Raw genomic sequence first — 26820 nt, 5'->3', positions numbered from 1 at the left:
GAAAAGCATGCAAGATGCCCCTTTGGTTTTTCACTTGAGGACCTAGTGGAACAGCGATCATTTAGAAGATGGAAAAGGCTGAGTATAGAGAGGAAGTGTTTTGGGGGAGGAGATGATTAGAGTTTCCTCCTTTGAAGCCTCAGACAAATCATGGAGCCTGTTTAAGTTTTGTGCTGGACATTTTAAGTTTCAGACATTGTGTGGCAACATCCTGGAAGCAGTTGGACATCCAAGTCTGAAACTCAGGGGGTGAGAAGGGGGAGTCTGAGCTGGAACCAGAAAGAAGCTCAGAGATTGCAGAGTGGAAATATGAGGCTATCTTACACCCCAGGAGGGAATACGAACAATGGGATGGCCCCAGAGAGTTTCCATGAGACAGGCTTGTTTCAGGGTAAAAATAAAAAAGAGTTTTGAAGGGAAAGAATCGCCCTCTGCAATAAAGTCCAGATTTTCTGTGCATTAGGAGGTGAACAAACCATCCATCAGTAGAACCTGTCCCCCTGCCCAACTCCAGTCCTGGTGACACTCCTTCGAGGCCTCAGACAAGACAAGTCATGGAACCTATGAAAGGCTCCAGGTCTTTGTCTGTGAAATGATGAAATGAGTGTCGGACTCAATGGTGTGACCAAGACCCTTAGCACTTCACCTGTGAGCCCAAGTCATTCCTCTGGTCACACCTGTATGCTTGTGCAGTGCTAGGTGTGAGGGATGCTCAGGACTATTGAGAAGGTCCCCACATTGGGACATTCTTCTTTTTTTTTTTTTTTTTTTGAGACAGGGTCTCACTCTGTCACCCAGGCTGGAGTGCAGTGGTGTGATCATGGCTTACTGCAGGCTTGACCTCCCAGGCTCAAGCAATCCTCCCACCTCAGCCCGCCAAGTAGCTGGGACTACACGTGCGTACCATCACGCTTGGCTAACTTTTAAATTTTTATAGAGACAAGATCTCCCTATATTGTCCAGGCTAATCTCAAATTCCTGGGCTCAAGCAATCCTCTCCCCTTGCTGGCATTATAAAAGTAAGCCACTGCGCCTGGCAGGAAATTGTTCCATAACATTGGAGAACCCGGCCACAAGTAAGCATCATGTGGTGGATGTCTCGTGAAGTGCGTCTTCTCAGTGTGCTATCTGCTTCTCAATCCCTGCCTAGGAAAGCTGTAGGGCTCCGTGGTTCTGGTGATGGGCAAACTCTTCTCTTTCTAGGAGGAAAGAAAAGTATCTGTGGTGGCGGCAATTGAGAGCCACTCATCACTGTCACATGTGCTACAATCTGTGTTGTAGGCCAGGCCACCATGGAGATTACAAGGACACCGAGTCTAAGAAAACTATCTGCTAGGGCCTGAGTTTGTAGCTCAGAGCCTGGCCATAAGATTCAATCTGCTTACCAGTCACTCAACCCAAGACCTAGTTCCCACCATGAAGGGTGGGGGTAGGCACCAGGGGAGAAGAAGGGGTAGGAAGAGAGGGAGGGAAGAAAAGGAGAGGATGCTGATGCCGAAAGTAATTATAAATAACCACTAGTATTAAAATACTCACATATACACACGCTCACACATACAGCATAGTTGGGAACTAAAATCCAACTTGAGAAGTATCATAGCGGTGAGGAGGGAGCACGGATGTACACATGTGTTAAAATTTGGCCTTTAGGAAAAATGAAGTGCTGGTAAATGCTACAACACAGATGAACCTTGGACATTATGCTAGGTGATATACGCCAGTCATGAAGGGTTACATGTTGCATGATTCCATTTGCATGAAATATATAAAATGTCTAGACATGCAAATCCATAGAAACAGAAAGTGAACTCATGCTTGCCTAGGGTTATGCGGAAAGGGAAATTGGAGGGTAATGGCTAAAGGGCCTAGGTTTCTTTTGGGGGCTGTGAAAATGTTTTATTTTATCTTATTTTATTTTGTATTAATTTATTTATTTTTGAGACGGAGTTTCACTCTTGCTGCTCAGGCTGGAGTGCAATGGTGTAATCTCGGCTCACCACAACCTTCGCCTCCCAGTTCAAGCGATTCTCCTGCCTCAGCCTCCTGAGTAGCTGGGATTACAGGCATGCGCCACCACGCCTGGCTAATTTTGTATTTTTAGTAGAGACAGGGTTTCTCCATGTTGGTCAGGCTGGTCTCGAACTCCCAATCTCAGGTGATCGCCCGCCTCGGCCTCCCAAAGTGCTGGGATTACAGGTAAGAGCCACCACGCCCAGCCTATTTTATTTTATTTTTGAGACAGGTCTTGCTCTGTTACCCAGACTGCAGTGCAATGGCACAATCTTGGCTCACTGCAGTTTGACCTCTGGGTTCAAGCAATTGTCCCACCTTAGCCTCCTGAATAGCTGGGACTATAGGCATGTGCCACCATGCCCAGCTAATTTTTTTACTTTTTATAGAGATGGGGGTCTTGCCATGTTGCCCAGGGTGATCTCGAACTCCTGGCCTCAAGTGATCTTCCCGCCTTGACCTCCCAAAGTGCTGGGATGACAGGTGTGACCTACCATGGCTGGCTGGAAGATATTTTAAAATTGATTGTAGTGAAAGTCGCACAACTCTGGAGAGATACAAAAAAATCACGGAGTTGTACACTTTCAATGGGCAAATTGTATGGTATGTGAATTATCTCTCTCTAAAGCTGATTTTATATATATTTAAAATAATATATTTTTATGTAACTATATAATGTGTATTTTATATAAAAAGTAACATATATAAGTGCACTGAAACGCTCTTTTTGTGTGTGTTGAGGGTGCTTATAGATATTGCCTAATTCTAAATGATGATAGATGAAACACTGACTGTTGATTCAATTATTGAAGTAAGAAACATTCCTCTTTCACAAGAGGACAGAGACTAATCATAAAATGTTGCTCTTGAAAGCCACTTGCCAAACTCATTCCATCCCTAGGTTTGTTTGGGGGCTGGAAGAAATGTCACAGTTGGTTGTTTGAGAAATGCGATAAAATAAAATACATGTTTTATAATAAATGTCACTTCTGTCAATTCTGGCAGTTGCAATATGTGCAAAAACAGAACTGTCCCTGCAGGGTGTGAAAGTGGGAGCTATGTTTGGAGGAGCCGTGGAGCAGAGCCAGCAGGATGGAGCATGCCATGAGGGAGAAGATGCTGGAAGCCATGGGCGGGGGGTGCTGGGTATGGGATCAAGAAGACTCCTGACTGGCTACTCCTAACTCTTGTGGCCCACAATAAAGCAGGCTTGGTGGATATTAAAACTGAGCCCTGCTTGTACATTTTATTTTATTTTATTTTATTTTTTTATTTTATTTTATTTTATTTATTTTATTTATTTTATTTTATTTTATTGAGACGGAGTCTCTCTCTGTTGCCCAGGCTGGAGTGCAATGGTGCCATCTCGGTTCACTGCAACCTCTGCTTCCTGGGTTCAAGCGATTCTCGTGCCTCAGCCTCCCGAGTCACTTGGATTATAGGCGCCCACCACCATGCCCGGCTAATTTATTGTATTTTTTAATAGAGACAGGGTTTCGCCAAGTTGGCCAGGCTGCTCTTGAACTCCTGACCTCAGGTGATCCACACGTCTCAGCCTCCATAGTGCTGGGATTACAGGCTTGAGCCACCGCACCCAGACTGTTATCTTAACACTTGGTCCTGCCCTTGTCCAGCGGCTCTCAAACATGTGTATGCATCAGAATCATTTGGAGGGCTTGTAAGAACACAGCTCACTGGGCCCCTCCTCCACATGTCCAGGGTGGGGCATGAGAATTTACATTTCAAGCAAAGTCGAGATGATACTGGTACTGATGGTGACACCGAAGCTGATGCCAATGCTGGCGTGGCCAATCTGTGGACCACACTTTGAATAGCAACCGGAAGGGACCCTGCCAAATGCATTCTGGGGCCGGATGCTATCACACTGAGGATTTTTTCAACAGAAGTTTCTTCAGACCACTCTTGAGACGTTCCAGGGGCAGAAAGGGTTAAGGAAGAAAGGGAAGTTCTGCGCCTGAAAGACCTGCTGGGGCCCTCATACAGTTTAGATTGGATTCCAGGCTTCTTGCTTATTGATTGCAATCAGTTGTTACCCCTGTAACAAATTGCGTTAAATTATTGAAATAGTAATAGGCGCAGCTGGGTAAATAATGCACAGGACGGTGCAAGTCTATATTCATCAAGAGATTGTCCACACTACACGTCTCCCACTGGGCCTGGCTCAAAACGATTTGTTCCCACCAACCTGATATTTCTCAGTGCTTGACCATCTGCAGACTCCCCAGCTGAAGAGAATGAAATCACTCATGTATTTTTGTACAGGTCTCTGAACATAGTCTTCAAGGTTTGCCTGCACGCATCCACGAAGTGGCCATACGAACATGAATCCTAAGTGCCTTTAATCTGCTTAACAGCATGTATGCTAAAAGTATTTAATATCTCCTGATGGTAACGAAACTGATGATTAAAACAAGTTACTCTCAATTACATGCTGCGTTAGAGGCAATTTAATGAATCTGAACTCAAAAAGCCTTTGTTTTCAAAATGCAAATTTGTCTTTAAAAAAAATTGAGATTTGAGATTGCTTTTTTTGCCCCAGCGAAATGAGTTTTATGAAAACCAATGTTTTCTTAAGGAAGCTTTCGCTGTAATGAGATATGGCGGAGACGAGCCGTGGTGGGGCTGATGAGGATTAAGATAGGCTCTTTGGAAAGCACCATGAGACAGAACACACAAATCGCCATGGAAACCCAGTCATGTAGTTATTGTATAATAGGTTTGCTAATGAGCCTAAAAAGGTAGAAAGTCCACGGCCTAAGGGGAGATCAGGGTGGGGGTGGGTATTAATGAGTAATACAGCAAGAAAATGGAGGGATGGCGCAGCCGGGAATGTCCATCTCTCCCTGACCTGCCAGGCAACGGTGACATGCAGGGCTTGGCAGCGACATGCAGTAGAGGGTCTTGCTGTCCTGTTGGAGGTGGGGACACGAGCGTAAGTCATGGGCTAATGCCCAGTCTCCCCAGCCTCGGAAGCCTGCTGCTGCCTCTCTGATGTTTCCAGAACTCACGGAGCCTCCCAGATTCTTGGGCTGTGGGAGACCTAACCAGTTAGAGCAGGCTGTGCTGCTGCTGTTGCATCCGGAAAGCCAGCCTGGCCCTGCAATCTACAAGGCTCCAGGTCCGAGGCTGGACCAAAACCTGAAGGCAGGAGAAGGAGAGGCAAATCCATCCTGGGCGCTTGCACTAGCCAGGCCCTACCCTAGGAACTTTCTCCCACTGCAGCTCATTGGATGTGCTTCTACAGCCTAGTCAGGACAAAACATTTGCTGGACACCAATTATGTGCCCAACACTGAGCCCTTTTCTCTTAATATTAATGATCTCAATTCTGATGAAATACGAAGTAAGGGATAGAACAAGCTCTAGGTAAACACAAAGTACATTAAATATGTGAAACTGTCACATTTATTTCAGACCTTTTTATGTCTGTTTGTTTTTTGAGATGGAGTCTTGCTCTGTCGCCCAGGTTGGAGTGCAATGTTGGCTGGAGTGCAACCTGTGCCTCCCGGGTTCAAGCGATTCTCCCCATCTCAGCCTCCCAAGTATCTGAGATTACAGACACCCGCCATCATGCCCGGCTAATTTTTGTACTTTTGTAGAGATGGGGTTTCGCCATATTGGCCAGGCTGGTCTTGAACTCCTGACCGCAGGTGATCAGTCTGCCTCGGCCTCCCAAAGTACTGGAATTACAGGCATGAGCCACTGCGCCTGGCCCAGGCCTTTTTATGCTTTAAACACAACATTTCAGGTACAAGTAAAGTAACCTCTGAAACTCTCACCAATAGGTAGATCCTTCCTTCTGTGTCTTTAGGCTTTTTGCTACCTAAGTGTTTATTTATAAACAAACAATATTCTGTGTTTTAAAATGTAATAATTCATATCAACTTATGTTTATATTCTGCAGCTCAATGTTTCCATTTGACATTAAGTTTGCCAGAACCGTGGGTATTGTCACATGCAGATCAATAAGCAAGCTCAGTAACGTTGCTAGGATTAGCCCATGAATATGGTTGCAAGGCCTGGAGTCTGTATGATACACACCCTTAAGACTTGAGACTTTGAGGCCTAGAATGTGGTCAGGTGTGTGTCAGTGTTCCATGGGGGCCTGAGAAGTGTGCACCGACTCTGCTGATTGGGTTCTCTACATGTCTATTAGACCAAGCTTGTAAGTGGTACATACTTACTGATTTGCATCTGCTGGTTTCTAGAGAGTTTTTGTTTTTGTTTGTTTGTTTTGAGACAGAGTCTCACTCTGTCACCCAGGCTGGAGTGCAGTGGCGTGATCTCGGCTCACTGTAAGCTCCGCTTCCCCCGGGTTCACGCCATTCTCCTACCTCAGCCTCCCGAGTAGCCGGGACTATAGGTGCGTGCCACCACGCCTGGCTAATTTTCTTTTTTTTTGGTATTTTTTTAGTAGAGATGGGGTTTCACCGTGTTAGCCAGGATGGTCTCGATCTCCTGACCTCGTGATCTGCCCACATCGGCCTCCCAAAGTGCTGGGATTATAGGCGTGAGCCACCGCGCCCAGCCCGAGAGTTGTATTTAAAAATTTAGCAATAAGACTTTACCTGTGTCAATTATTTTGACCATCACCCCTTTTCAAAAACATGTATGACATGAGTCTTTTTTTTTTCTTTTTTGAAACAGAGTCTCCCTCTATCGTCCAGGCTGGAGTGCAGTGGCGTGTTCTTGGCTCACTGCAACCTCCACCTCCTGGCTTCAAGCGATTCTCCTGCTTCAGCCTCCCGCGTAGCGAGATTACAGGTGCCTGCCACCACGCCCAGCTAATTTTTGTATTTTTAGTAGAGACGGGGTTTCACCATGTTGGCCATGGTTGGCCAGACTGGCCTTGAACTCCTGACCTCAGGTGATCTGCCCGCCTCAGCTTCCCAAAGTTCTGGGATTACAGGCATGAGCCACCACACCCGGCCTGATAAGAGTCTTATGGATACAGAAATATGAGGCTCAAAGCTGGGACATGACAGACTTAGGGTTGGAACCTGTCCACTTCCAAAGGCAGTCACTTCTCTTTCTCCTAGAGGTTGGTATGATCTAGCCACCCAGCAAATAGAGGCAACTGGGCCTGTGTTGAAACCCAGATCTATGAGGCTGTGAGGTGAAAATGCTCAACTCCCAAACTATCGTGCAAAATCTAGCAAATAAAACTCTACCCATTCTACCTGGAAGCCAACCTGAGATAGCCATACATTGAGCGGCTCATAAATGTTACCCGAGGCCACCGCATAACATTACCCACCTCCAAGCTCATTTCCGACCTGCTTCCTCCTACATCAGATCCTATCTGGCTCTTGGAGCTCAGTGGCCTCCCTGACTGGCATCCCGCTATCCTCCACTTGTCATTTTAGCTGACCTGATCTTGCCTGCTGACTTTAAACTGGTCCCATGGACTTCCCCCAGCAGTACCAGCTCCCATGTGTGCCTCTACACACATCAGACCCCACGGGCCCCAGGCCCACTGCCCCAGTCCTCAGTGACCCCCTGGCCATCAGATGGCCCGGCAAAGGCAGGTTCCTAAATGAACAACCAAAGCCCATTCCAAAATGTCTTCCCAGCTCTTAAGTCTGATTTTCTGCCTCTTACAACGGAGATGGGAATGGCAGATTCACCACGACACTAACTTAGCTTGGGCCTCAGAGGCCCTCCTTTCCAAAGGCCCCTCCTAAGACGCTGGACTTAATTTTATCTTCTCAAGGAGGATTCAGAAAATCCTAGGAACTTCAGGTCACCCAAAACCTGGGTCCACCCCTGCAGAAGTGACTCTTTCTTGAAGATCTCCTCGTCAAATAGTGAGGTGCTTTGGGGAAGTTCATGGGTTTAATCCCAGGATTAAAGCTTACACGAGAGGAGCAGGCCTTTGCCCGTCTCCTTCCACTTGTGTATCAGGCTCAGAGCCTTCCCCCATGCCACCTGGGAAATGCTGGCCTGGGTCAGCCCTGCTCCGCTGTGGCCTTCAAGCAGAAGGGAAAGCTTCAGCTCCCAGCTCAGCAATGTGCCTGGGCCCCGCCCTGCTCCAGCTGTGTCCACTGGGCTCGTGGGGAAGGGCCAGGACCAAGCCAGATGATCTGACATGATGGAAAGGGAAATTCTCAGCATTCCTTCTGCAGGAGACCTTTGCCAAATGCAGTGCAGTGAGGGGCAGCAGGCTGGGGTTTTCTCAAGCAGCCAAATGCATCTTCAACCCTGGCAGAGTTCAGTGCGGAAAAAACTGGGTCATCTCTAACGAAGTCGAGTTTCAAGGGGAACAGGCATCCGCTGTGGAGCAGGAGGCCGGGAAGGGGAAGACCATGGGGAGGCCAAGGGAGGATACAGAATGGAGTCCTGAATTACTCTCTCAATGCACACAGGCTTCCAGTTTTGGAAAAATGTCTTTATATTCCCAGAAATGACCCAACGGAACAATCAGATTACATTATTTTCTCCAGTCTTCAATGCATAGTGATGGCTCCAGACAGAAGGGGCCAAAATCCTATTTTTAACTCTGTCTTGACTGTCACACTAACCAACCACCAGATGTTCCTCAGCAGGGACCCAAATGTTCATGTTCCTTTCTCCCCACCCACAGGGCGCGCTTGGTGGGGAAACATCAGTCTGGCACTGTGAACTTCCCAAGCCAGCTTCAGCTGCTCAGCTTCCACCAGGGCACTGGAGGGGTCTCTAGAAGGCTGCCAAGAGCCCTCTCTCCCCTACAGCCAGGGGAACACTCTACCAATGACTTCCTAACAGACTCTCTTGGGAGCCTGTGCATTTTAATGACTAGAGGCCTTCCATTATTATCATGTCCTCTTGACAAAGCCAAGTTTTCCTTCAAGACTCAGCTCATTGACTCCTCCACAAAGTCCTGTCCAGCCACCTCCCACCACCTGGAGGCTGAACCAAGCCACTACCCCCACCCCAGCATCTCTGCATGATAGCACTTACGACTGTATAATTGCCTACTTCTTTTCTTTTTTTTCTGAGACGGAGTCTCGCTCTGTCGCCCAGGCTGGAGTGCAGTGGCACGATCTCGGCTCACTGCAAGCTCCGCCTCCCAGGTTCACGCCATTCTCCTGCCTCAGCCTCCTGAGTAGCTGGGACTACAGGCACCCGCCACCACGCCAGGCTAATTTTTTTTTTTTTTTTTTGTATTTTTAGTAGAGACGGAGTTTCACCATGCTAGCCAGGATGGTCTGGATCTCCTGACCTCGTGATCCACCCGCCTCAGCCTCCCAGAGTGCTGGGCTTACAGGTGCCTGCCACCATGCCCGGCTAATTTTTTTTTTTTTTTGTATTTTTAGTAGAGACGGGGTTTCACCATGCTAGCCAGGATGGTCTCGATCTCCTGATCTTGTGATCTGCCCACCTCGGCCTTTTGGGAGGTGCTGGGATTACAGGCGTGAGCCACCACTCCTGGCCTTAATTGCCTACTTCAACTCCATCTTCCTCGATAGTCTCGAGGCATCACATCCCCACCCTCCCCTCCTGTAGCTCCACACCCTAGGGAGTCCGCAGACACCTTTCCCTTACTGCCCATTCAGTCATTATGATTATGAGCCACCAATTGACAAAGAAGCTATGACTTGGAAAGATTGTTTGCCCAAGGTTCCAAAGCTGGTAAGCATCAACACCTAGACAACACCCAGATCTTCTGATTCTGAGTCTGATACACCTTTCATTGTTCAGTGGCTACTGGTAACGAGGCTTTAAGGAGATAAAGATGGGGGGAAGCAATAATATTTTGATAAATGCAGCTCCTCTGCCCCCAAACAGAAGAATTGAATGACAAATTGTGGCCGAAGGCACAAGAAATAAAACAGTCACAAACTAAAAGGCCTACAGAGGCCAGGCAGGGACTGTGATGCCTGAAGCAGGCCAGGTGGTGAGGATGAGCCCTCTGAGAAGGTATGCCCAGATCCGGGCCCAGACTTTATTCAGAACCAACACATTGCTGCCACCAGCAACACGGGCTCATAATTGCTCATTTTATGTTTGTAGTTAGAATTTGGGCTCTGATATGAAATCTTCAACATTTTTAATGATGGCAGGTAATCCACATGTTTAAAGAAACAGTCTGGGGGTTGGGGAATAAAACGCATCTGCAAGCTGAGCACATACAGGCCACCAGTTTGCAACCTCCTCGGACATCAGATCAACCAGTAGCACATTAACCTCACTCAGCTTCCTGGCTGCTGCCTCACTGGGAGGCCTGGGGCTTCAGAGGATTCAGACAGAAAGAGCGGTCCTCAGCAGCGCGGCTGGCCGCTCCAATGTAGCGTCTTGCTCTTCTGCACTTTTATCCTCACAACCTGCAGTGGAATCACTGCATGATTTTCGTCACCCAGGGGGCCATTCTGATCAGTCAGCCTCCGGGGGGGATGACGATTTTTTGGTTTGTGTCTGATTTGGCATTTGCTTTGCTCCTACCAGACTTTCGACCACTTTCTTACAGGATGCCTTTGAGATTCTTCTTTAGGTATCCCCTGAACCTCACACAGTAATTGCACAAGAATGAACACTTCACCAATAGGAAATGGAAGAACAGATTGCCTCCCAAACCTTCAGCCCACTCCCTCCTCCCTGTCCCTCTTTGGGCATGTCTGTCTTAAACCGGCCGACAGGCAGGCTTTCCACAGACTGCTAGAGCGCTGCTGCTCCTAGCCTGACTGAGCATCTGCCATGTGCCAGGCACTGTTCCTCATCAAATCCTTGAAACAATCCTAGAGGACAGGTCCTAGCTTGGTTCTGTACTAACAGATGAGACTGAGGCTCAGAAAAGGAAAAAAACACAGTAGTAGCAAAGCTGGGATTTGAACCCAAGTCAGTGTAATTCCAGAGTTCACACCCAGTGATACCAGCTGTTATGATCCTCATTTTACAGATGGATAAATAATTTCAAAGAGATTAGAAAACTTCCTATAAGTCACATCCAGCTGGTAAAAGAAAGAAAGAAAAACAACAACAACAACAACAAAAACACCTCACAATTACATCAGGTCAACAATACACTCAGACCCCAGGGGCAATTCTAGATCCACTTCTAAATTTTAACACAGGCCTAGTTGAAATGAAAAAAAAAAAAAGATCCAGCTAGGCACGGTGGCTCGTGCCTGTAATCTCAGCATTTTGGGAGGCCAAGACAGGAGGATCACTTGAGGCCAGAAGTTCAAGACCAGCCTGGGCAACAGAGCAAGACCTCGTCTCTACAAAAAAAAATTAGCCAGGCATAGTGGCCCACGCTTGTCATCCCAGCAACTAGGCTGCTGAGACTGGAGGATCACTTGAGCCCAGGAGTTTGAGGCTGCGGTGAGTCATGATCACCCCACCGCACTCCAGCCTGGACAACACAGCAAGACCCTGTCTCAAAAAAAAAAAAAAGGAAAAATGATCCTAATAAGAACATAATTTTAATGCTGGCTTTGCTCTAATCCCAGCCAATCATGCCTTTCACTAAAAAGCTTAAAAAGTACACATGAACTTATCAGGTTGAATCTTCACATTTGCATGTAAATCTGATTTCTTCCCTGTTTACAAGTATGCCCTTATCGCCCAGCTTCTTGATACTCAGTGTGGTCTGCAGCAATAGCAACATCTGAGAGTCTCCCAGAAATGCGGAATCTCAGGCCCCACTCCAGACCCACAGAATCAGAACATGCAACGTTAACAACATTGCTAGGTGATTTGTTTGTATAGGAAAGTTGGAGGAGCACGTGACCCCAAGAAATCTCAAATAGCAGCAATTTTACAAACATTTCTCTTTGGTGTATCTAAAGACAGCATGGACTAGTAAAAGCTGTTTTGTTTTGTTTTTAAAATAAAAAAACAAAGACAGGGATCTTGCTGGGTTGGCCAGGGTAGTCTTGAACTCCTGGCCTCAAGCAATCCTCCCACCTTGGCCTCCAAAAGTATTGGGATTACAGGCATGAGCCACCACACCAGCCAAAAGCTATTTTTTTTAATACAAAGAGTCTACCGAGAGACAACGCCCCCCAGACAAGAGCCACCTGAGTGGCCCACAGTGAACTGTCTCAGAAATGTCATTTCTCAGGTGAACAAGCCAGCTTTTCAGGCTTCAGTGTCAGTTTTCAGTTTTCAGGTTTCAGTCCAGAAACCCTGGACTAAACCAGCTTTTCAGGGCCCTGTGTTGCACTTGAATGCTCAGCTACCCGCTTACCCAGCCACCAGCAACACCAATATCACCACGGCGACTCTGCCTCTTCACCCACCACACCCACCCGCCCTGCCTACAACTGTTCTGGGCCTGTAGTTCCCAGAGCCGCAGGGAGGGTGTCGTGGGTTTATCAAAAAAATTGGAAAAAGGAAAGAAAAGTGGCTTTCAAATTCCTTTCAAATGACTAGAGAATAAAACTGGTCTTTGGCCATATGGAAAAAAAAATGCACCCAAAAATGAGGTAATAGGGGAATAGCAATGAACCTCAGAGGCTGTCCTTAAACCAAACCTACGATGGGTTTGGAAATGTCCTTATAAAGCCATATTGGACATGCCACTGGTGATTCCTTGGTGGCCTGGCTGTGTGTGGTATGGGGCTGAGACCAGAACCGTGGAATCCCGGGTTACAGGAAGGTCGGAGCTGTTTCAGTCACCAGCCAAATCTACAATTAGTCCTTCGGGGAGATATTTCGGAAGGGACCCCTGGCTGGAAGAAGGACCCAAGCCTGGGAAAGCCAAGGAGCCTTCTCCAGAGGGCGTTGCTCGGCTTTTCTCAAGGCTTGCTGGAATTTCATTATCCCACTCACGGAGTACAGATGGGAATTTAATAATTAATTAGGGAATTGCTCACCCCAGAGCGCGTGCAAGGGGATTATGCAAATCAGTCGAGATTGTGGCAAACGGCTGAATATTTTATAGTGTGTTTAATTTGCAAACACTACCCACTGAGACGGCTTAGGTAGGAAACCTATAATAATAATTATTATTACTCATCAAAAACCACTTGAGTTTCCATCAAACTGCCTTCCTTTCAACTGCTTCCACCAAACCCTTCCCCCAAGAAATGTAGTATTTTTTAAAAAATGAAAAACAGAAAGTAACCGAAATTCAAAAGAATATTACGAATGAAATGAATCTGTCTAGATAAAATAAAAACTAACCTGGACGCTACCTTTTGCCAGCCTACAACTCTTGTAACACTCAAATATCTTCCATCCTGATAGTTTTCTCCTCTAGATACCAACTGAGCTAGCAAGCTGAACACAAAAGAGAGCAATGTGTTCCCCTGTGTGCACTCCACACACTACTTAATGCATTAATTAAGCCAACCATTGATTCTGTAAACACCCCTACATCCTTCCTATAAATATTCTTTTGCTTAAATAATCTGGAGCCATTTCCTATTACCTCCCAACAAGTGCCCTAGCTGCTCTAGCTTGTAAGGATAATAAGGGCTGGAGAAGTCCACGCTCCAGGGACTTCTAGCTAATTCCACCTGTTCCACCACCAGCACCGCCACAGGTTGAAAACTCAGTCCTCTAGAACAGGATTGGCAAACTTTTTCCATAAAGGGCCAAATAGTAAATATTTAGGCCTTGCGGGCCATACGGTCTCAGTTGCAACTTCTCAACTCTGCTGTTGCAACACGAAAGCAGCCTCAACCAATATGTAAACAAATGAGCATGGCTGTGTTCCAATAAAGCTTTATTCACAAAAACAGATGGTGGGCCAGATTTGGCTGCCACCCAAACCTTCTGGCACTTGATATTATGCATTTTGTAAAGCATTCATGCAATTTTCTTTTTTAATGACTCTGAGCATATGTACATGTAAACCTAAATGTATTAAATTAAACCAGTGGCTCTCAATGGGGGACAATCTAGCCCCCGGGGGACATTTGGCACTATCTGGAGATCGGGGTCATCTTTGTGGGTGTGGGGGTTGAGCAGTCAAATGGGGTACCAAGCTTAGAAGGACCCCGGCCCCACACTTGATTTAATGCTCTGCTGTTGCTGTCTTAAAATTCTTTTGTTGTGGTTGAGATGGAGTCTTGCTCTGTCGCCCAGGCTGGAGTGCAGTGGTGCAATCTCAGCTCACTGCAACCTCCAGCTCAGTGCAACCTCCACCTCCTGGGTTCAAGTGATTCTCCTGCCTCAGCCTTCCAAGTAGCTGGGATTACATGTATGTGCCACCATGCCTGGCTAATTTTGTATTTTTAGTAGAAACAAGGTTTCACCATGTTGGCAAAGTTGGTCTCGAACTCCTGACCTCAAGCGATTCATCCCAAGGTGCTGGGACTACAGGCGTGAGCCACCATGCCCAGCCAAAACTCTTAATACATATTTGTACAAGAGGCCCCACATTTTTATTTGGCATTGGGCCCCACAAATTGTACTGCCAGTTCTGCTAGATACACAGAAAACATTGACAATTGTCACAACTGGGGAGATGCTCCTGGCACCACCTGGTAGAAGTCAAGGATGCTGTTGAACATATCACAACCCAACCAAGAATGATCAAAACGTCAACTGTGCCAAGGTTGAGAAACCCTGGATTAAACCATGTGAACTTGCCAATAATCTGCTATTTTTAACCTATAAATATTGTAATTTTATATGTACAGTCTAATTTAACTATGTTTTATTTACAATCCAGGAAAAAAAATCCTCTCTCAATCTATGATTTCTGATTTTTTTGCCCGTTTAATCACCCCCAATTTGTGTACTCATGAATTTATCTGTTTTCTGTTTTTTTCTAGATAACTAATACAGGTTCAGCATCCTAATCCGAAAATCTGAAATTGAAAATGCTCCAAAATTCAAAACTTTTTGAATGTCAACATGATATTCAAAGGAAATGCTCCTTGGAACATTTGAGATTTTGGATTTTCAGATTAGGAATGTTCAACCTGTGTGTACAATGCAAATATTACCAAATCTGAAACATTTATGGTCCCAAACATTTCCAGTAAGGGATACTCAACCTGTACAGCAAATAGCACAAACTTCTAAGATTCAGAAGCATATTCAGGCCAGGCGCGGTGGCTCACGCCTGTAATCCCAGCATTTTCAGAGGCTGAGGCGGGCGGATCACCTGAGGTCAGGCGTTCAAGACCAGCCTGGCCAACATGGTGAAACCCTGTCTCTACTAAAAATACAAAAATTAGCCGGGCATGGTAGCGTGTGCCTGTAATCCCAGCTACTCAGGAAGCTGAGGCAGGAGAATCACTTGAACCCGGGAGGCGAAGGTTGCAGTGAGCCAAGATCACGCCACTACACTCCAGCCTGGGTGACAGAGCAAGACTCCATCTCAAAAATAAAATAAAACAAAACAAAACAAAAAGAAGCATATTCAGTAAAAATGAATCCCCCCACCCCAGCCTGCTCCCATCTCTGCTCCCCTCTCAGAGAAATCCCATCTTTCATTTTCTCATCTGTCCTTCACAGCTATTTTGTAAATGGAGGCATTCTGGCCATGATTACTCACCTATCTTCTTTCAGGATGTCCTTCATCTGCCCCCCAACCCACTCACAAAGGCTCCCCTACTGCTGGCCCATCTGCTTTGCCTCTCATTTTACCAGGGACACTGACTTCCCTGACAAGAGTTCCACTTGTCCAGAGCTTTCTGCTCCCACAGCTTTGTCTCTTGGAACCAACTGATTGGCTTTCTCTGTTCCCCTCTTCTGAAGTCCCGGCTGAATAAAAAGTCACATTCCACTTTCTATTTCCTACTTTCTCTCCCTTAGTGTTCTTTGTCACAGAACATATGATTGCTCTATTTAAAGTCTGTTGGGACCCAGCACCTGTCATAATCATTGAACAAAATGAAAAGCTCTTGCACTTGGTTCGCGCCAAACCTCTATACATAGACTTGACACCTTGTGTCTGTTCCAGGAAGAGCAGGAAAGAGACAGTTTGATGTTGGAGACTCTAACTGCCTGGTATCGATTTTGACTTGAAGAGTGAAGGAGGGGCCACCTCTCATTATGAGTGTGAGTGTGGTTGTGTGACTACCTATATGCTCTTCAATTATGAATACCACTTTTGAATTTATCCAAAGGACTATCAAAAGCAACCAGAAAAGCATAAGCAGGCAGATTACACCAATTCAAGAGAGCAATTAATTATTTAGCAGTATTTAACCACTATCTTAATTCAAGGGCGACACTTCTGGTTGGGAGGAGAAACTCCCAAGAAAATGTGGCTCTAGGCTGGGCGCGGTGGCTCACGCCTGTAATCCCAGCACTTTGGGAGGCCGAGGCGGGCGGATCACGAGGTCAGGAGATCGAGGCCATGCTGGCTAACACGGTGAAACCCTGTCTCTACTAAAAATACAAAACAATTAGCCGGGTGTGGTGGCGGGCACCTGTAGTCCCGCTACTTGGGAGGCTGAGGCAGGAGAACGGCGTGAACCCGTGAGGTGGAGCTTGCAGTGAGCCGAGATTGTGCCACTGCACTCCAGCCTGGGCCACAGAGCGAGACTCCGTCTCAAAAAAAAAAAAAAAAAAAAAAGAGAGAAAGAAAATGTGGCTCTAACCCCAGCTAGCAGGAGACAGTGGCTGGGAGGGCAGCGGGTCCCTGGTAGTCTGCCTCCTTTGTCTTCTTGACCTTCCAACTCCCACGGTGGCCAGGCTTCATCTCCCAGGAGAAGAGCTGCCCACCCTTGTGTCCCCTACCCCTGCTAGGAGGTGAGAATGAGCTGCACTGAGGCTGGTTGTCCTGGCTGTATGATGTTGGGGGTGGCAGCTCAGAGCTGGTGAGAAGCCTGGGCCACATTATTGATGGGGAAGTTTGGTCTCAGACGCCTGAGTGGGCCCGGCTCTCACCTCCCTAAGCATGGCTGTCATCACCCTGGCTGGTGGAGAGGACTGAGAGGAAGGAGAGGGGGCTCACCAGCTCTTCTAGCTGAACTGTTCTACCTCCCAGTGCTGCGACCGTATGTTCCTCCAGGGAACACTGGGTCCTCCGCAGTGCCAGCTACATCCCTGTCTAAATGCATGCTTGGGATGGTGAGCATCAGGAAGGAAGGGTGCAGTATAAGCTAGGGACAAAAGAATAGGAAGAGACGAGCTTCAATCCTAAATTCTCAGATTCATTAGAATAGCATGTGCAGAATTTTTTTTTTTTTTTTAGACAGAGTCTTGCTCTGTCCAGGCTAGAGTGCAGTGGTGTAATCTTGGCTCACTGCAAACTCCACCTCCCAGGTTCAAGCGATTCTCCTGCCTCAACCTCCTGAGTAGCTGGGATTACAGGTGTGTGCCACTATGCCCAGCTAATTTTTGTATTTTTAGTAGAGACGGGGTTTCACCATGTTGGCCAAGCTGGTCTTGAACTCCTGACCTCAAGTGATCCACCTGCCTCGGCCTCCCAAAGTGCTAGGATTACAGGCATGAGCCACCACACCTGCCCTGTGCAGCCTTTTTTGTTGTTGTTGTCGTAAAATGTGTGTAACACAAAATTTACCATTTTGACCATCTTTCCGTGTATAGCTCAGTAACATTAAATATATTCAGATTGTTATGCAGCCATCACCACTGTCCATCTCCAGAAGTTTCCCATCATCTAAAACTGAAACTCTGTATGCATTAAACACCAACTCCCCATTCCCCACTCTCCCCAGCCGCTGGCAACCACCATTCTACTTTCTGTCTCTGAATTCTACTATTCTAGGTGCCTCATATAAGTAGAATCCTTTTGTGTTCTGGCTTACTTCACTTAGCAAAATGTCCTCAAGCTTCATCTATGCTGTAGCCTATGTCCCAATCTCCTTTTTCAAGGCTGAGTCATATTCTATTGTCTGAATACGCCACATTGTGTTTATCCGTGCACCTGTTGATGGACACTTGGAGTGCTTCCACATTTTGGCTTTTGTCAATAATGCTGTTTTGAACATAAGTGCATAAATGTCTGTTTGAGCTACATAGATTTAAAAAAAAATACATATTCCCAAATCCTACCTTGGGAGATTCTGTTCAGTAGCTCTGGAGACTAACGGAACCTGCATTTCTAACGAGATCCCCAGCTAATTCTAATGCCAGACCAGGTGTGGGAAACAAGTACCTAGACTGCTGAAGAAGTTGTGCTAATCCCAGCAGCTAGTTATCTTTGCTGTTTCTTTGTAATCATATGAAAGTAAGTTTCATCCGTGCAAAGAGGGGTTGGGCTGAAGCAACACCTTATAGTGTAAAGTCTCCCTCTCCCAAATCCCACCCCTGATCATGAGCATAGAAACAGCTTCCATTTTGTAAATGTCAGCTCAACCATCTGAACAAGGCAAGTCTGATTTTCCTGTCTACAATAAGAAAACAGTCTCAGATACAGCTCGTGAACCAGGACTCAAATTCTCTCTGACCCTCAAGACCTTGCTGTTTTGCTCATGGTTTCTACTGTTCTCACTCTGCTAAGCCCACCGTGGCGCTGCGGGGTGACTCTGCTGAGAGATGCAGCATCTCTCAGAGGTGGGCTGTCTCCTCCCTCCTGGAAAGCTACCATCCACATCTTGGAACCAGCGAATATGACTTATGTTTCTTCTTCAGGAAACCTCAGTCTTCACTCTTAGGGTCTTCAATTGATTGGAAGAGGCTCACCCACCTTATGGAAGGTAATCTCTCTACTTAAAGTCATCTTGGCATAAATGTTAATCACCTTTTCAAGTACTTTCACAGCAACATCTAGACAGACTAGTGTTTGACCAAACTGGGCACCATAGCCTAGCCAAGTAGACACAAAAAATTAAGCAATTTGGAGTGCATAACTCCAAAATCTAGAGATTTATAAAAACATAAGGGGAGGGGTTGGGTGCGGTGGCTCACGCCTATAATCCCAGCACTTTGGGAGGCTGAGGCGGGCAGATCGTGAGGTCAGGAGATCAAGACCATCCTGGCCAACATGGTGAAACCCCATCTCTACTAAAATAGAAGAAAAAAATTAGCCAGGCATGGTGCTGTGCACCTGTAGTCCCAGCTACTCAGGAGGCTGAGGCAGGGGAATCGCTTGAACCCGGGAGGCAGAGGTTGCAGTCAGCCGCGATCGCGCCACTGCACTCCAGCCTGGGCGACAGAGCGAGACTCCGTCTCAAAAAAAAGAACTAAGAAGCATCTCAACTTGGAGTCTACTGTTTTATGTAAAAGAAACCAAATAAAAGATATTTTCAAAGTCTTGGAAGAGGAATCTGAACATAAATGAGAGGAAAAGGACTATTCGAAAAGTTGATAAAGCTTTGGAATTCGGAAATATGTTTGGGAACATTTCAATAAAAGAAGTGAGAAATTACAGACTCCTAATTTGGTGAAAACGAACTTATTTAATTATCTTTAGATTTGTTTATAAAAGAACTGAGAGTAAAGTCAGGTAAACTTAATGGACTATGAACAAAATATGCTCAAAATAATGAAATCAGTCGAAATCATTCTGACATTAAAAATTGTAAAAAAATATTTTAGATATGTTCAAAGATGAAATTCACTAAGAGAAAGGTGTTCCATTTCTAACAGAAGCAATGACTAAGCCCTTGGATTTTTACATAATCCAATTAACTGAATGAATCTTTTGAACGCATTGGGAAAAGATTTGTCTTAAACTCAGATTAAGTTGAATTTGCTCCCAAAATACTGGCATCGACAAGATAATTTAAACTTATAGTACACACTATAATGAAGAAATCAACAATGAACTGCTATTGAGCTTCACTGATTTAAAGAATTCAATGACTATTAAGATTAGTCATTCAGAAAACCCGAAGTACCCTAAAACTTCACGGCTCATATATAAATCTTGAGAGGTTTTCTCAATTTTGACAATGGTCCTAAATATGTGCATGATCAAATCAGAAATTAATTGGAAGTGAAACAAATTATTTCTAAACTGTTAAGAATAAAACTCAAATTTCTATCAGCCATGCCAGAGGAAGGACTGAACGATCTATTTTCGGTGTAGAAAATATTACCTTGTCATAAAAAGAGGCAATCAAAGAGCGTACGGAAAAACCGTGGAAGGATAAAAGCATTGTGGAGGTCAATCAGGCAGTTAATAAAAAGATCATATAAATTTTTAGATAGTGCAATGATTGTGGTAGTTGAACTTTTAAAAATTTGCATTTTATTGAGTCCATCCTCATTCTAAGTAAATATTCATTTTTGCACCTAATTTTACAATGATAATTTTGTATTTTAAAGGAGGGCTGCCAAATTTTATTAGCTTCCAGCTCCACAAAATCTGGATCTCCCCATGCCCCAGTCTGAAGGTCATACCCTATTAAGGGTCATACTCTAGCTACACTTTGCAACCAGGCCACAAACTCAAATGAACTGAACCTTTATCGGGTACCCACCATGTCCTAGACTCGGAATCTCCCCAGTCACACCTCTCAGCTGCATAGTTCCCAGGCACGCTCTAAGACTCCCATCTAATACCACCCATCCTAAGCCTTTAAAAAGCCAAAAGCCAAGCCCCAAAGACCTTTGTTTGTGCTTTTATCTTTCCCCAGAAACAGTCTCATAGAACACATAAGAACACATACTTAGGAGCCCAGCTGCCTGGGCTTGAATTCCAGCAACCTGACCTTATAACTTTGTGACCTTGGGAGAATTACTTCTGCGCTCTGTGACTCAATGTTTTCTTCTCTAAACAGGGATAATAACTGTATTCGTCCCTTCTCTTACTGCTATAAATACCTGAGACTGCGTAATTTATAAAGGAAAGAGGTTTAATTGGCTCACAGTTCTGCAGGCTGTACAGGAAGCATGGTGGCATTTCCTCAGCTTCTAAGGAAGCCTCAGGACACTACAATCATGGCAGAAGGTGAAGCGGGAGCACATACATCGCATGGCCAGAGCAGGCGGGAGCGAGAAGCGGGAGGTGCTACACACCTTTTTTTTTTTTTTTTTTTTTCGAGATGGAGTCTTACTGTGTTGCCCATGCTGGAGTGCAGTGGCGCGCCTGGCTAATTGTTGTATTTTTAGTAGAGACGGGGTTTCACCATGTTGGCCAGACCGGTCTTGAACTCCTGACCTCAGGTGATCTGCCCACCTTGGCCTCCCAAAGTGCTGGGATTACAGGTGTGAGCCACCACGCCCAGTTGGTGCTACATACTTTTAAACAACCAGATCTCACAAGAACTGACGATGGTGAGGACAGTACCGAGAGGATGGTGCTAAACCATTCATGAGAAACCACCCTCCATGATCCAATCACCTCCCACCAGGCCCCACCTCCAGCACTGGAGATTATAATTTGACATGTGATTTGAGTGGGGACACAGATTCAAATCATATCAATAATGATACACATCTCAGAGTCCTGTTGTGAGAATTAGGCAACTTTAAGTGCCTAGAAAATGCCTGGCATGTGTTCCCAGACACCTAGCAAGGTGTTTAGCAGAATGCCTCGCATATGATAGGTACTCAATAAGATTTGAGTCCATCTGAATTTGTGGCCTGGTTGGAAAGTGTGGCTAGGGCATATGACTTAATAGGGTATGACCTTCAGTGAATTAATTGATTTCTCTGGTCTTGGGTTTCTTTTATGTAAAACAGTAGACTCCAAGTTGAGATGCTTCTTAGTTCTAAAATTCTGTGACTTACCAGAGGTAAAATAATTTGTAATTTTATTACTCACCAGTGTGAACACTCAGTGAGGCTCAATAATCGTAGTTCTCTTGACCATTTCTGGATTTTTGCTTTTGACTATGTGATTCTTCAAATATTTTTCTGTAAGCAAGCAGAATGTAATAGTAACAGCATCCCAACTGTAGAATTTGTGATTATAAGTTCACAGTAGTCTTATTATTTACAGTGGTCAGTCTTTAACATTTTACATCTTTGTTTTCCTCCCCTTGTTTTTTTTTTTTGAGACAGAGCCTTGCTCTGTCGCCATGCTGGAGTGCAGTGGCGTGATCTCAGCTAACTGCAACCTGTGCCTCCTGAGTTCAAGCGATTCCCCTGCCTCAGCCTCCTGAGTAGCTGGGACTACTCAGCTAGTGGAGGCAACAAGAGGACAAGGAAATAAAACGCTTCAGGTGACTCTTGATTGCAATGAAAATATCTTATTTTTGCAAATTTACAAAACTTAGGATCATGTGAACACTGTGCTGAAATCCCTTCCCAGGCCTTGGAAAGGGCCCTGAAACGGAATTTTCCAGGTTGAGAGAAGCTGGATGCCTGTGTTAGGAGACAACACAGACCCCAGAGGCTTGGCAAGGCAAGGCAGGGTTCACAGGACACCAGCAGGTGGGTAATGCCAGGGCCAGGGCACCCAAGGGCACTGAGAGAGTTTCCCTGTAGGTGATGAGGTGCCCAGGAGGAGTTTGAGTTTAGGAGTTTTCTTGCAGTTTAAAACAAAATTATGGAAGCAGGGGAGAATGGGAAATTTGAGTTTAATGCGTGCAGAGTTTCAGTTGGAGAAGGCGAAAATGTTCTGGAGATACACGGTAGTGATGGTTGCACAATGATGTGAACGTACTCAACCTCACGGAAATGTATACTTAAAAATGATTAAGATGGGCCGGGCGCGGTAGCTCACGCCTGTAATCCCAGCACTCTGGGAGGCCGAGGTGGGAGGATCACCTGAGGTCAGGAGTTTAAGACCGATCTGGCCAACATGGTGAAACCCCGTCTCTACTAAAAATACAAAAAATTAGCCGGGTGTGGTGGCACGTGCCTGTAATCCCAGCTACTCAGGAGGCTGAGGCAGGAGAATCACTTGAACCCAGGAGGTGGAGGTTGCAGTGAGCCGAGATTGCGCCATCGCACTCCAGCCTGGGCAACAAGAGTTAAACTCTATCAAAAAAAAAAAAAAGATTAAGATGGTAAATTTCATGTTATGGATATTTACCACAATAAAAAAAAAAGAAAACTAATTATAAAAATCTTTCACAAACTTCAAAAATTGAAATAAGCGTAAATCCACATACAGTTGTTAGAAATAATAGAGAAACATCTTGTATACTTTACTCAGTTTCCCCAAATGGTAACATTTTTGCAAAACTATAGTCCAATCTCACAATCAGGGTATTAATACTGATACAATCCATTCCCATCTTATTCAGATTCCCAGTTTTACTTGTACTCATTGCTGTTCGTGTATCAACTCTATACAATTTTATCACCTCTGTAGGTTCGTGTATCCATCATCACAGTCAACTATTGTTCAACAATTCCAACCCACACGGCTCTCTCCTGTTATAATCACACAAACTTCCCTGCACCCTGACCCTCAAGCCAAATCCCTGGCAACTACTAATCTGGTCTCCATTTGCAAAATGTTGTCATTTCAAGAATGCTATATAAATGGAATCGTACGATTATATACACCTTTTGGGTTTGGCTTGCCATACTCGACATTTTTTCTTGGAGAGTCATCTAATCTGTTGCAAGTACCAATACTCCACTCCCTGTTGCTGAGTAGCATTCCAGGGTATAGATGTAGCACAGTTTGTTTAACTATTCACCTGTCGAAGGACCTCTGAGCCAGTGAAGGACAGATTTTGGCTATTATGAATAAAGCTGCTGTAGACATCTGTGTACAGGTTTTTCTGTGAACATAGTTTTTCTTTCTCAGGGGGTAAATGCTCAGGAATGCAATTGTTGTGTGGTAGTTACTTGTTTAGTTTTTACAGAAACTGTCAAACTGTTTTGCAAAGTGACTGTACCTGGGGGTGGGCACAGTGGCTCACGCTTGTAATCCCAGCACTTTAGGAAGCCGAGGCAGGAGGATCACTTGAGGTCAGGAGTTTGAGATCAGCCTGGCCAACATGATGAAACCCTGTCTCTACTAAAAATACAAACATTAGATGGGCGTGGTAGCAAGTGCCTGTAGTCTCAGCTACTCGGGAGGCTCAGGTACGAGAATCGCTTGAACCTGGGAGGCAGAGGTTGCAGTGAGCCGAGATAGTGCCACTGCACTCCAGCCTGGATGACAGAGTAAGACTCCATCTCAAAAATAAAAAAAAGAACCACCCACCAAAGTGACTGTACCTTTTCTCATTCCCAACAGCAATGTATGAGTAATGTGTTTTCTCCACATCCTTGCCAGAATTTGGTGTTGCTGCTATTTCTTATTTTAGCCATTCCTTTAGGTAAGTAGTGGTATCTTGTGATTTTGATTTGCATTTCCCTTATGACTGCTGGTGCTGCGTATCTTCTTAGGGGAGAGGTGTTATGCATGGGAATGGTATGGCACATGGGAGCGTCAGAAGGGTCAAGTGAAGGTGGTTTGAGCCCCTGACAATGGCCACGGAAGGCCTGAGCCAGGCTATGACAGGGAAGGGCCAGAGAGTGGGGGTGTGGGGTTCCAGAGATGCTTTAGGAAGTTGCCAAATGTGGTGACTAAGGAGACAGGAAGAAGCATTGCTGAGGAAGAGGGAGGCATCCAAAGTAACTTCCCAGCTCTAACTCAGAGAAAGAAGTCTAGAAATGTTGATTTTTACCTGTGAGACATCCATGTAGCCCACAGGCATCTGGACACAAGCGTTCAACACAGCGATTGCATCTGGGCTGAATGTATGGATTTGGAAGCTCAGAAGTTTCCCTCACATAAGGTAGAGGGAGAAGTCTGATTGTTTAAACTTCTAGTCTATTGGTTCTCACATGTAGGCCACGGACCGGGGAGTCTAGAGACCATCCCCCCCACCCTCCAGCTCCCACACGCACACCATTTTCCATAGCACATGAAACACCTTGCACACCTAAGCGCGCTTTTTCAGTTGTATGTATGTAAATTGTTATGACTTCACGAATCTATTTTCTAAATTTTTAATTTTAGGTTTTCTTTTTTTTACGACTACTTTTCAATCAGATCATAAAAGTGCTAAAACCAGTGTGAAAGCGTGCAAAATGTCGACTCCTTTAGAAGTGGCCGTGACTTCCTGCTAGTTGGTCTTCCCAGGGACAGGGGGTCTGGGGGCTCTGAAGTGTCGGCTCTCGGATCCCTCGGTATTATTTTACAGAAACCACCTCCCGTCCGCTGTCCTTCGGGAAGAGTCCCTGCCCTTCCTGCCCAGCCCGACCCCCTCCCCGGGCGTCCCCACCAGTTCCTCCTCCAGCGACAGGTGGCTGCAAGCCTTGCCTTTGAACTCGAGAATCCCTCTCCCCAGCCCACAGCCTCGCAGCAACTCACAGGCCAGAGGGTCGACCCCTCTGGGCTGTGACTGGAGCCCTCCGGGGTGAAGGCACTGCTGGGCCCCCGACCCCCAACCCCGGGTCCGCCGTGCGCTCTGCGGGGGAGCTGCCGGGCGCCCCTTGTCCAGTGCTTGCAGCTCAGCTGCGGAGTTTTGTTGGCAACCGTTAAGAAGATTCGTAAGTTACATTTCCCAAGCCCTTCCCCTCTCCAGGAGCACAACACCCGCATCCCCAGCATCATGAAAACAAGCGCGGCCACCGCGATGTGCGACACGTGGGGCCTGGAATCTCACTGCAGACCGCGCTGCAAACGCTCAGCCGCGCCTTTGAATAAGTTAGACGGCCTGCGGGGGCGTCCGACCAGATAACACAAGGAATGCGGATGCCACCCTTGCCTCTGGTAGGTATTTCATCAGGTTGCTGCTTAAATATAATTCCAAACAAATTGAGGTTGTCCTTTGGAGGCGGGGAGGGAGGACGGGAGGCAGGAAAAAGAGAAAGCTGACTTGGCCTCTTCTATTACCCGAATTGCAATCGCTGATCCTTTGTGACATAAAAGTCATAGGTCAAATCCAAGATCTTACTGCAAATCGGCGGGGATTTTTCTCCCAGGAATATGAGACTGGCCTCTTATCTCCTGATAATACCTCTAGAGTCTCCAGCCCTGAGAATTAGCGAGAATGATGACACAGGGAAGAGACAACGGGGAGCCATCACCCGCCATCGCTCTGCATCCATTTAATTGATTCTGTATGTTTTTCAGTTCAGGGTTCCCAGAGCTCCCTACCATGCATTTTTTTTAACCCCAGGGAACATAGTGAAACTTCTTTTTACTTGTATTTATCTTTTTGCTTTATTTTTGAGTTCCCTAAATTAAAAAACCAATGTCTAGACTCTGATTATTTAACTTTGGCGGCATACATTGGCCCCTTGAATAATTTCCCTGGAGACCCACTGATTTTTAAAATGAATATAATCGGAGGAAGCCAGGAAGGAGGGAGGAAGAGGGGGTGAACCGGTAGTTGCGGGGGTATTTTTTTTTCTTTTTGAACTTATATTTTAGAATCAGAAGTTACATGTGCAGGTTCGTTACAGAGATATTTTGTGTGATGCTGAGGTTTGGGGTATGAATGATCCCATCACCCAGGTTCCTATAGTACCCAATAGGTAGTTTTTCAACCCTTGCCTCCCTCCGTCCCTTCCCTATCTAGTAGTCTACAGTGTCTTTTGGTCCCAACTTTCTGTCCTTGTGTACCCAATATTTAGCTCCCATTTATAACTGAGAACGTGTGGTATTTGGTTTTCTGTTCCTGTGTTAGTTTGCTTAGGATAATGGCCTCCAGCTGCATCCATGTTGCTGCAAGGGACATGATTTTGTTTTTCGGTTTTTGGTGTTTTTTGAGACGGAGTCTCACTCTGTCGCCCAGGCTAGAGTGCAATGGCTCAATCTCAGCTCACGGCAACCTCTGCCTCCCTGGTTCAAGCGATTCTCCTGCCTCAGCCTCCCGAGGAGCTGGGATTACAGGCGCCTGCCACCACGCCCAGCTAATTTTGAATTTTTAGTAGAGACGGGGTTTCACCATGTTGGTCAGGCTGGTCTTGAACTCCTGACCTCAGGTGATCTGCCCACCTCGGCCTCCCAAAGTGCTGGGATTACAGGCACAAGCCACCACATCTGGCCCATGATTTTGTCTTTTTATGACTACTGTATTCCATGGTGTATATGTAC

At 45.9% G+C, this 26820-nt stretch overlaps 1 long non-coding RNA gene across 2 annotated transcripts in view; it reads right to left on the bottom strand.

The window, feature by feature from the left end:
• LOC101927025 (uncharacterized) overlaps positions 1-26820 on the bottom strand; it is an 83190-nt gene that overhangs the window by 37427 nt on the left and 18943 nt on the right. Inside the window, exon 4 of one of the 2 annotated variants that reach the window (XR_243235.4) lies at positions 21592-21683. The exons of the other annotated variant lie outside the window; for it this stretch is intronic. This is a non-coding gene — a long non-coding RNA (uncharacterized LOC101927025). The remainder of the gene's footprint in view (positions 1-21591; positions 21684-26820) is intronic. 2 annotated transcript variants of the gene reach the window in all.

Source organism: Homo sapiens, chromosome 15 (genome assembly GCF_000001405.40).
Source record: "Homo sapiens chromosome 15, GRCh38.p14 Primary Assembly".
Classification (NCBI taxonomy): domain Eukaryota; kingdom Metazoa; phylum Chordata; class Mammalia; order Primates; family Hominidae; genus Homo; species Homo sapiens.
Note: the sequence above shows the minus strand (reverse complement) of the source record. Positions and strands in the feature narration are given on the sequence as shown.